The 11,824-nt window shown below is 37.0% G+C and overlaps 1 annotated feature.

Moving 5' to 3' along the window:
• Positions 10,954 to 11,593: an enhancer, noted in NCBI's record as "H3K4me1 hESC enhancer chr18:41168512-41169151 (GRCh37/hg19 assembly coordinates)". NCBI's record gives its function as "activates a minimal SCP1, AML or CMV promoter by ChIP-STARR-seq in naive H9 embryonic stem cells {active_cell/tissue: H9 hESC(naive)}" and the evidence as "EXISTENCE:reporter gene assay evidence [ECO:0000049][PMID:30033119]".

Here is an 11,824-nt window from a genome sequence, read left to right on the forward strand (position 1 = left end):
AACTAATACACCTTACTTTTAAAAAATGTTTTCTTACGTTCAATTATAATTCGATACACTGGCAAAAAATGACACTCCCCCTCAGTTTATTATTTGGTGGAAATAGAGAAAAACCATATGAAGGATAAAAAAGTTTATATCTGAAGAGTCATACTAAGGCTGAAAGCATTCTCACTAGTACAGAATCCCTTTCACTTAATGTGTCATTACTAACACAAATATCTAATTGTATCCTTTATTTATATCATATTTCATAGAGTCCAAGATAAATGTTCTTCAAGTTTTAATATTCTGAAGTTGTGATATATCTTAAAAGCGTGCATTTGTCATAAGTTAAGTGGCAGCTTTTTTCCTTAGTAATAGATTAATGGAGAATCTTACAATTAATGGAATCTAAATTCTATCAAGTTCTGTATCTTCTCTCTATACAGTATTTTCACACTTTGAGTGTGATGTTTGTGTGTGTGTGTGTCACTGAACCTATAGTACTTTATATTTTTTCCAATTCCATTTGATCAATGTTTTGTGTGATGGGAAAGAGATCTTTGAATTTCTCCATGTTCCAGCTCCATTTAGCCATCCTAATACAACACTTCTTTCCTAGATACCTGAAAGGAAACCTTAAAATTGTGTTCAAAAATTGGAAATGCTTGATCCCATGAGATTTTCTTCCTACTGAATTATTTGTTTTGTGGATATGTGAACATATTGAAGACTTAAAATAAGTATGCTCTTTCAGAAGCCAGATCTCATCTATTTTCATTAAATCAATTTCTCATTTGCATTCGTTTGTGGTGCATTTGCTTCCAAGAAGAAGCAAAGCATGTGTTAGAAATTTTTAAAAAGAGTCACCACCACAAATAGAAATTGTAGTGTAATCTATTTGATAAGCAAGTTAAAGATCAACATAACATCCAGAGCAAAAAAAAATTTACTGAAACTTATTCATAATATAATATAGCAATTAAGAACATCATATGAAGTAAGAATTGAGTTCAAATCTATATGATATTAGGTAACTAGACTTAGTTGATATTTATTAATTATGTAAGTGACCTCATGTATCACTAGGTATCTGTGTCAATTATTGAATTTATCATCTGTCAGTTTCAGTGTTCTGTTTTCTAATGCTGGTGCTGGAGTTGGGACTCTAAAAACCATACCTCTGGTTCGTTCGTGGTTCCCTGTTGGGCTCCGCACTTCAGGGAGAATGCAAGGCTGGAGAAGGAAGCAGGGACTATTTCCTTTCTGTCTGCTTGTTTTTCTTGTCATTATCACCATAGCAACACTTCTTCACTCCAGCAGCCGCAGCAATTTCTTCCTGTGGTAGCAGCTAATCCAAATTGTGTTTGTTCCAATATTTGTAGAACCAGCTCTGAGGTGAAACTTAAGGGTTTATGCTGTGCTGGCACTGGCTTATACCAGCTTGCCAAAGTTGACTGTTCTCTTCAAGAGTTCCATGATGTCCAGTTGGTAGTTTGGCATCAGCAAAGATGGGAATATGCCTACCATGGATATTGACACATGCAAAACAGCAGGGCTACTCTCACCTCTACCAGACAATGCCAGTTTAGCAGCCTGCTACCCCTTTAGAGTTCTCTTTTTAACGGTTTAGTTGCTTAGTTAATAACATTATATGTGACAAAAATGTCTTTAAAAATTTTTTCTGTTCAAATATCTAGTGTGTTTTCTGACTTCTGACTGGACCCTAAATGATGTAGTATATTTTTTTCAACTATAAAACAAGGAAACTTTCAGTAATCATGAATTTCATGTGAGGATAAAATGAGACCACATAAAAATACTTAGCCTGTTACGTTGTAAGCACTCTAAACATAACTCTGGGGCCAAACAATGTATTAAATTTTAATCTATATTTTTAGCTTTTTTTTTCTTTCTCCATTTTAAGCCATTAGAAAAAGAAATATCAACCAGTGCAAATTTACCCACAATGGGACATTTGGTAATGTCTGGGGACATTCTTAATTTTTACTACTGGGGAAGGGTGCTATAGACATCTAGTGGTAGAGTCCATGGATGCTACTATACAACTTCGCAATGCACATGACAGACCCGCATAACAGAATTTTCCAGCCCAAAATGTTAATATGCTAAGGGGAAGAAACCTGGAGTTTGATTCTTAGTATTTCCTTTTTCTAGAAATCTTGGCTAGGCTGAAAATAGGATTTTTTTTTCTTTTCTTTTCTTTTTTAGATAGTCTCTCTGTTGCTCAGGCTGGAGTGCAGTGGTGCGATTATAGCCCACTGTAACCTCGAATACCTGGGCTTGAGTGATCCTCTCACTTCAGCTTCCCAGGTAGCTGGGACTACAGGCACGTACCACCACACCTATCTATTTTTTTATTTTTATTTTTGTAGACTGGGGTGTCTCACTACACTGTCAGGGCTGGTTTTGAACTCCTGGACTCAAGTTATCTAACCTCCTCCATCTCCCAAAGTGCTGGGATTACAGGCATAAAACACTGCACCTGGCCTTAAAAATATTTTTTTTAAATCAGTGTTTTTTTCTTATCTTGTGAAAGCCAGGGCTTGTTGGAAAACTAATACTGAGAGAGAGAGACAGAGACAGAGAGACAGAGACAGACAGACAGACACTGAGAGAGAATATTTCACAAAAGGACTGTAAAAGGACAGAGGAAGAGAGAGAGGTTTTTCCAAGGTCAGAGAATGAGTTTTCAAGACCTGTAACTTGGTGACAGTATACTAGGGCAGTGGCAAAACTTCAGAGGCTGATAGTTGTGTCAAGGGAGGCTGGGCTCTAGGTTGTAATTTCCCAGCCTGACAAACTGTTTCTGTGCCCAAGAGTCTCAAAGGGTCAGAGGCTTGAGACCATGGTCTGCAGTGACCAAATAGGCCTCACTACACTTTGCTGTTTTTGCAATCCTGGAAGCAGGGAGTCCCCAAAATAACTCTGAATTTCCTGCCAGCCAGACAGATTGGGACCTAGAAATTAATGTATAGAAAATGGAAGAAAAAGTGATTTTATTTTTTGGAGAACTGATTTTGTAGTCTGAGTGATATCCACTTTCTTTACAGTAGTATTCTAATCATGGTGGCAGTAATTCTAGTGGTAGCCGTAGTCCTGGAGATAATAAAAGCATTGGCAGCTATAGCAGCAGCAACATTAGTAATGACTTCTTGTGATGATCATCATTAGTATTTCTGCTATTTTCTTTTTACCACTGGGAAATATTGATATACCTATTTCAAATAAATTAATGTTTCTGTTTTAACTTATCTCTTTGTACAAATATGTATGTCAAAAATAGTAGAAAAATAAGCACAGGCAAAAATTAGAGATAATATGTGAGAGACTTTTTTAATATTATGAATTTATAAAATCATAATATTTTTATAAAATAATTCTCATTTTCATAAAGTGTTACTATTCAAACTGGTGCTTCTATCTGTGAATCTTGACTATAAAGTACTCATGGATATATTTGTATTATCAACATTCCCTATACCATAAACCTGTATGATCATATTTTTATTAATCTGTCATGTATAACATGGGTGTATAACTTGATCAAGGGTTTTGAATTTTTCTTTTTATTGCAACATTTACATTGACATCAGAAAGAAATTCTCATATCTGCCAAAATTGTTGTCAACAAAATCAAGATAAAATGTTGAACTGACCTGATTTCCTACAACAAAGAATAAACTATTCAAGGCAACTAGTACCTGTATCCCCAGTAAGGTCTGAACACAATTCTGCATAAGATGAATACACAGCCCTGGTGACACAGATTTGGGGATGATAATGGTGAGGAAGACTCATGAATTTGCAGTGGAAGGAATTTGAACAGGAAACTGAGTTCCACCTCAGCCTTTAGGGAGGTACAGCTCTATTGGCTATATTGATTGATGAAATTGCTGAGGCTCCCAAGATTAAGAAACTTGCCCAAGGTTCTATAACGTTGATTACCCTCGGAATGCTGTACAACGTGAAAGTTGGTTACAACATAGGATATTATATCCTTTAGGTTATATTCACTATGAGTAATGGAACTCCTCATCCCACCAATAAACAAAGCAGCTTAAACAAGGTAGGAGTTTACTTTTTATATATGTGCCTGGCTGAAGTCCATCCCAGTGTGATGTGATACTCCATGGCATTGGGAAGACAGGTTCCTTCCACACTCAAGGTGACATCATTGTCTAACATCTTGCAGGATCTCTGGCTACTATGGCTACATTCTAATATGTACAAAGGTAGACCCACTGGCAGGAAGAGAAGGGTTAAGCCCTTTGTTTTAAAGATAATTTTTGGAAGTTGCATATACCACTTCTTATATTCTATGATATTAGCCAGAATTTAGCTTCAGGTGAAACTAGAAATTAGATCCTATTCTAGGTAATCAAGTATATAGCTAAGGATTTAGAACAGGAATCAGCAAACTTTTATGTATAAAACATCTAGGATAGTAGATATTTTGGGCTTTGCAGGCCATATGGTCTCTGTCGCATGTATTTAAGTATTTGTGCTGTTATAGTTCAAAAGCAGCCATACACAATATGTAAATGAATGAGCATGGCTATGTTCCAGTAAAACTTTATTCAGAAAAACAGGTGGTAGGCTAAATGTAACTCAGTGGCCACAATTTGAACTCCTGTTCTGAAAGATAACAGGTATTGGGAGACAGCCAGTGGCCTCTGACACTATGCTATTGCCAAGTGCAGTATGGAAGCACAATGAAAAATAGCTTTTTGCCAAGTCAATTACTTTCAACTTGAAAACACTCTTCTGGTAGCTGACCTTAGGGTGACTAAAAACTGGGTTTTCCCAGAACACAGTGGTTCATGTCTGCTTTCCTGGCGTCTGATCCAGTCCTTCTCCACCTCAAAGTGCTCCCAAATTCAGGCATGCTGTTCATAGATATTTACCAATCAAAAGGAAAGCATAAAAAAATGTTATATAAGCATTCCCATCAGGCTTTATATGTAACAGCTAAAAAACCGACAAAAACCCAAATGTACATAAACAGAACAAGGAGTAGACAAAGTATGTTATATCCATTCAGTGGAATATTGCTCAATAATAAAAAGGAGCAAACTATTGATTCATTCAATAACTTGGAAGACTCTCTCAGAATAATTATGCTGAGTGAAAGCAATAAAACAAAAAGAATACATATTTTGTTATTCCACTTATCTAAAACTCTATAAAGATCAAATAAATTTATAGTGACAGAAACAGATCAGTGGATGCCTGGGAAGGTTGGGGGCAGAAGAGGCAAGAGTTAAGGATTGCAGAGGGGCATGAGAAAGCTTTTGTAGGTGACATGTTCACTATCTTGATTGTGTGACAGTTTCATAAGTGTATACCTATATCCAAACTTAGCAAATTGCACACTTTAAATATATGCAGTTTATGTGTTAATTAAATTTCAGTAAAGCTGTTAAAAAAGTGTTTCAGTTTGAATCATAACTTCTGTGATTACCCTACCTAGCATATGCCAAAAGAATTTTTGTTGAATTGAAATGCTGTTTCTTTTTCAGTAGCACCCAAACAAAAGGCATAAAAATAAATGAATAGTGAAAACAGAAAAGGAAAGTAGAAAAAGGAAAATCTCTTTAATACATACACTAAAGTTACTAAACACTAAAACTACACCTTTCGGGGCCGCCAAAAATGCTTGTAATAGACAAATCATAGAAGAATTCCTAGGATTTTGTGACTGAAGTGGCTGCTTCTGCGACCCAATCAACTTCACTTAATTTATGGACTTACAAATGAATGTGACTGACTGCTCACAAGTAAATTATTTTCCTCTAATTGGTCTCTCTAAGTGATAATATAAACAAATTAGCCATGACAGTGATGAATCCTGTTGGCTGTATCTGCAGAACTAGATGTATAAAGACTTGTATTTTGCTCATATGTGCTCCAAAACTTTACATTACACTTGATTCATTTCGCTATATGAATAGAATTAGAGTAATTCACCTCTAAAACTTTTTTTGATTCTAGAAGGCTGTGATTCTTTTATCCAAATCTACTCATACCACCTTTGCTTTTGTAAAACACATTAACCTGCCTGTGCGCCATATGCTAAATGGAGATGAACAGTGCATCTGCATTTAGCATATGATTCTTTTCATAGCAACTCCTCAGGATGTTTGGGGCTTGTTCTTAATGTGCCTTAATTCTGATTGATTTTGATGTATTTTTCTTCAAAATCTTTGCCTAAGTTACCTATTCTTTCTTGATCTGCTGCCTTTTGAAATTTACAGAGTTCAGGTTTTCCAGCGTTATCTCTTGGACCTCATGAAAGTACATACTTCTGCTGCTGTTTGTGCTCTTGGTCATCTCCGGTACGGAAACTTCACTTTGCTTTGTCTTATTCCTCAAAGTCTCAAGCCCCAGAAGACCAACCATCCCAAGACAGAGTTAGGCATAGTCAAATGAAAAAGACCATACCACAGAAAAAATATGAACTTAATATTTTTGTCCTAACTATATTTAGGTTCAATTTTAAAACCACAATTTTTGCCAAACCTTCCCCGATTACTTGGCTTTTCTCATAGCTGTATCCCTGTTTGGGCTCATGGCATCCATTAGCTGTTACTTTCATCTCTATTTTCTTGAATACATTTAAGGTATATTCCCCACATAGATCAGAAACTTCCTAGTATGTTTCTAAAACATTTCATGGTCCATAATTTACATTATTCTTCTAAAACATTTCATGGTTTATAATTTACATTGTTCTTCTGAGTCTCTGGAAAGCACAAGCACAAAGAAGTTGTTCAGTAAAATATTTGAGTATTGTTTGATTGCTCCTAATTGGTACTACCAATTGTTTCAGTTTTTCAGAGAGTAAATACTTTCTATTTCCTGCATATACATATGAAAGATTTTCTATGCATATATATACATATATATAATTTTAATGGTTTTCTATTGTAAGAATATAGTCATAATAATAACCTACCTCCTGAAATTATACCTGGATACAATAAATTATGATAAATGCTATTAAGTCTTGTGGACCTGACTCATCAAGAGTAAAGGAAGATATGTGTAATATGCTCTTTTGAAAAAAGAGTTGAAGGATGAAATCTATCTTTGAAAGGTTAATGGTCAATAATTTTTTTAAAAAAGTAACAAAGGGACCAAACTGAAATAATAAGCATTCATTTAAGGGAATGCATTTCCCAGAAGTTCTTCTTTACTGAATATCTCCTGAAGGTTCATTAAAGAATACAACTCCACTCAGTTAGCTTGTGATCGTTGATAATTTCCATGTCTTCCAGATTTTGCTTTTAAGGTCCATGACCATGACATTCATTCTTTTATCAACAAATGCTTTTGACTTAATACCATATACCACATACTGAAAATAAATTAGATATAAAATGAACTTTATAATTCAATGATATCATTTAGAATATCCTCATTTGTCTTCATTTTCATTCTGTAGAAATTTTAAAATATATAAGTTGATTTCTGTACACTAAGCTGAAATTTTTTCAACACAATGAGTTTTGGAGTTGTTTTTACCACTTTAATTAATGGTGGAATCAGCTAATGTTAAAAACTTCTTAACTTGAAGGGAGGCTTTTATTGATAGGGTGACCTCCTAGATGCTGATAAAGGGCATATTACACAGTTACACAGTAAGCAGAGTTGTCCTGATTTCCCTGTGTGCTAGAGTACAAAACTGCTGAGGTCAACAGCCCAGCTGTCTTTGCAGAATAGTTAGTGTGGCCTTCTATAATTGACATCAATGGTCTTTGCAACACAGCACTCCTTCCTTTTCCAATGGGTAGATACATAGACAAGCATATATATATGTCCTGCAATAGCTGTTAAGAGGAGAAACTTTTTTACAGGAAGTGTTCAATGTTAAAAGAGCATGAATCTAATCCTGAATGGCCATGTTTCCTGCCATGTGAACAGAGACTACAATTAGCATAAAGTCAGGCAGAACTTATGTGGAGAGAGAGAGAAAGAGAGAGAGACGGGGAAAGAAACCCAGGTGACATAATTTTATCCCTGAATCCAGGAGCAAATGGACCAAGCAGAAATATTTAGAAGTGGGAGATAAAGAGGCAGAGCTCTTATAATCTCATTTGAACAACTAGACTCAACTGAACTGAAGCCAATTTCATCCTTGAATTTTTTGGTTGTATCTACTAATATATAAATATATTTTCATTTTTTTTTTCTTGAGCTGGTTTGAGTTGATTGTCTTTTCTACTGCCTTAAAGCCATTTTTTTTCAGGCTACTGCAACAAATTACTTTAGATTAGTTGACTTAAACAACAAACATTTACTTTTCATAATTCTAGGGGCTGGAAAGTAGAAGATTAAGGTGCTGGCAGGTCCACTGTCTGGTGAAGACCTTTTTTCTGGTTGAAAGGTTACTTAATGTTTTCTTGTATCCTCACATGGTGAAGAGGAAAGAGAGGGAGAGCAAGCTCTCTTGTCTCTTGTAAGGAGGGCACTAATCTCATCATGAAGACTTCACCCTCATGACCTAATTGTCTCTCAAAGGCCCAACCTCCTAATATCATCCTATTGGGGATTAGGATTTCAACATATTAAACTTCTGGGGGATATAAGCATGTAATGCATAACAACCTCCAGTCAAAATTTTTCTACTTATTTGACTTTGCTTTATTCTAAAAATCTATTTTAACTTCGAGTTCAGGTTTCACACTAATGGATCATTCTATTGTTACTGACCAATCCTTTTAACAAATTCCACTAGAGTCCAAGATGCGCCCATTTCTACTGAATTTCATGACATAGAACTATGCTCTTCTGATTTAGAGATTATATCTGATTCTAGCTTTATTACTCATGGCTATAGAGAGAAATTAGCTGGAGAGCTATTTGAAGTCATTCTTCTAACCAAAGCTCTGATTTTTCAATTTCTGACCAAACTTGTATGAATCAGGGAGCTCCATCACCACTTTGATTTCTTATAAAGTGTTACATTTGACTGAGTCATGGAGATGTCATTGTCAGACCTGGAGGTTGGTTAGTGGTGGGAGGCCATATTCTTTTTGCCTAACAATGTTTTAGAGGCATGGTGTGAAAATGTTTATATCATTTAAAGTCATTTTTTCTAAAGAGGCCATTTGAGCCTCAATACAAGAAGCCTCTGCGGTGGCTCACGCCTGTAATCCCAGCACTTTGGGAGGCCGAGGCGGGTGGATCATGAGGTCAGGAGATCGAGACCATCCTGGCTAACAAGGTGAAACCCCGTCTCTACTAAAAATACAAAAAAAAATTAGCCGGGCGCGGTGGCGGGCGCCTGTAGTCCCAGCTACTGGGGAGGCTGAGGCAGGAGAATGGCGTGAACCCGGGAAGCGGAGCTTGCAGTGAGCCGAGACTGCGCCACTGCAGTCCGCAGTCCGGCCTGGGCGACAGAGCGAGACTCCGTCTCAAAAAAAAAAAAAAAAAAGAAGCCTCTGAATGTATCCTTCTTTCTTGCCTCAACTTGGGCTATAAATAAGTCAAGTGATCCATCTACTCATTTGATGGAGCTAATATTTTGCCAGTTTAAGTATGTACCTAATTATATGCAAAACTTTTAAAGATTTGTAAAACAAAAGAAATACTGTGATAGCAAGAATAAGATTAATTAATCTCTATAAGTCACCCCAAAACTTACTGAGTCTCTCTCCCTTTCTTTTTCTCTGGAAGATTATTATCTCTTTAGTCTTCCTCTGTGGAATTCTCAATGCTGTTGTTTTTTTCTTTCCCCCATTTCCCTTTCTCATTATTTCTCTTTGCTTACATTTATTTCTCTTTGCTTACATTTCTCCATTCTTTCTTCAACTTCCTTTTTTCTATATTCCTTTTCTCTTTTTCTGTTTGTGTCATCTTCCTTCTGTCTCTCTTCCACTAACATTTTATTTTTATATTTTTTATTCTCTATGCTCTAATGTCTTTTCTGCTCTTGCATATTAATGACTCATATTTGACAGGTTTTTATATATAAATATATCACAGAGATTAGCCCATTTTCTCTGATAGTTGAGCTAGTAGAATTTTCTATGTAATTCTTAAAATAAGGCTTTATTGTTTGAGTGAACCTGGAAAAGCTCTGCTACAGCATGTTTTTTCCAAGATGTAGGCCTGTCTACATTTCAGGAAATCAAATCCGTATGCCACCTGGTGGCTATCAAGAAAAGTACAGCCAGAAACAAAACTACCTTCAACAAAATCAGTGGCATATCCCAATACACTGAGGTAATGCATGGTTTATTCTATTCATACAGTGCATGTGATGACATGATGTCATTCATCTGAACCTCACCACTGAGCAGTACTACCATCAGCTAGACAGGGATTTGTTATACCTTTCATACTTCCTAATTCCCCATTTCTTAGGGGAAAAAATCACTTTCCTCATTTCCTGTCTTCTCTAGTCATTCATATAAAATCAGAAAATTCCAGAACTGTTAAGGGAAATGAAAAGTATCTAATGCAAACTTATGATATCCAGCCAAGAAGTTAGTGGTGGATCTATGAGTAGAACACAGGCTTCTTTCTTCCCTGTAAAATGCTTTCTGACATTATTTTCACCTTCCTCTCAGGGAGCTTAGTTAAATTAAGACAAGATGTAGTTAGGAGAAATAAATAAGAAGCATAAACAAAGGAAAGGGAATACCATGAAATCTATGAATAAATTTGGGTTACTTCTTATGGTTTTTGTTATTTGAAATGAAGATTTTATTTATATAGTTGATCAAAACAAAGTAGTGTAGAAGTTGTTTGCCGTACTCTAGTGGAAATTTTCTAAGAGGAATGGCATCAACTGAGAAGGAACAAGGCAGAGGAAAACCTGGGGCTGAAGAAAGAGACTGGATTGTGGGGAGTGGTAGGGGTTCATTAGCCAGGATCCAAGTATGTCAAAAATTGGTATATTACCAAATATCCAGAGAGTTGCGATTTTCTGGGAAAAGTAGTTCATCAGAAGTAGAGATGGTGAGCAGTATTCATAATCAGGTGAGGCAGCTACATCAGGCTTCTAGTTGGGTCTTAAATGGCAGAGTTGCATTTATTTCTAGGTAGAGGAATTACTGGAAAGAATTAGAATAGCTCTGTGTAAGGGTCTTAATTTTACTGATGCCATAGGAGACCTGCATTCTTGAATTTAATTGTGCTATGGGTGAAAAATTCAGGGCAACGGTTTACCGTTTCAGTGTGGGACAACACAGAAGTGTTATGGAATACTTGGTGTGTCGCTTCACCAGCTGGAAACCTCTGTGACCAGTGGCAGCTTTGCCTGAATTTTACTCTGACCTTCTGGGCTCCTTCTGCCCACTCAGCCTGGCAGGCTGCATTTGGCTCATGCTATTGGCCTGGATCCTATGCCTGCCAAGGAAAAGCCAGGCACAGAGTGACCAGGGGAATGTGAGCAAGCATGGGGTCTAGCCACTGCGCACAGCCAGGCACGCCAGTGCTGACAGGGTGGGCAGCACCAGCTGCTGGAACAGGACCCAGCTCCCTATGAGGCTGTGGCTGGACCAGGCTCACCGAGAGCAGCTTCCATGGCTGGCACCAGGGAACACAGGGGTGCCTGGAAGCTTGGAGGCTCCAGGAACTGCAGGGCTCCAAAAAGGGAGTCACAGCCCTGGCTTAGGGAGTTAAAGGGCTGTAGTGCTTCTCTCCTTAGCCTGTAACGTGGTGAGCAAGGGGCGTGTGTCAGCCCTATTGGTGTTACTGCTCTTTTAGCCCCGCCATTTGGCTGGTCCCAAGTCTTGTCTTGCATCCAGGAAGAACGATGTAGGCAGACAAGTGGAGGATGAGCAAAACAAAGAGGAACTTTATTGAGGGA

The sequence above is a fragment of the Homo sapiens genome, chromosome 18 (assembly GCF_000001405.40).
Source record: "Homo sapiens chromosome 18, GRCh38.p14 Primary Assembly".
In the NCBI taxonomy this organism is placed as follows: domain Eukaryota; kingdom Metazoa; phylum Chordata; class Mammalia; order Primates; family Hominidae; genus Homo; species Homo sapiens.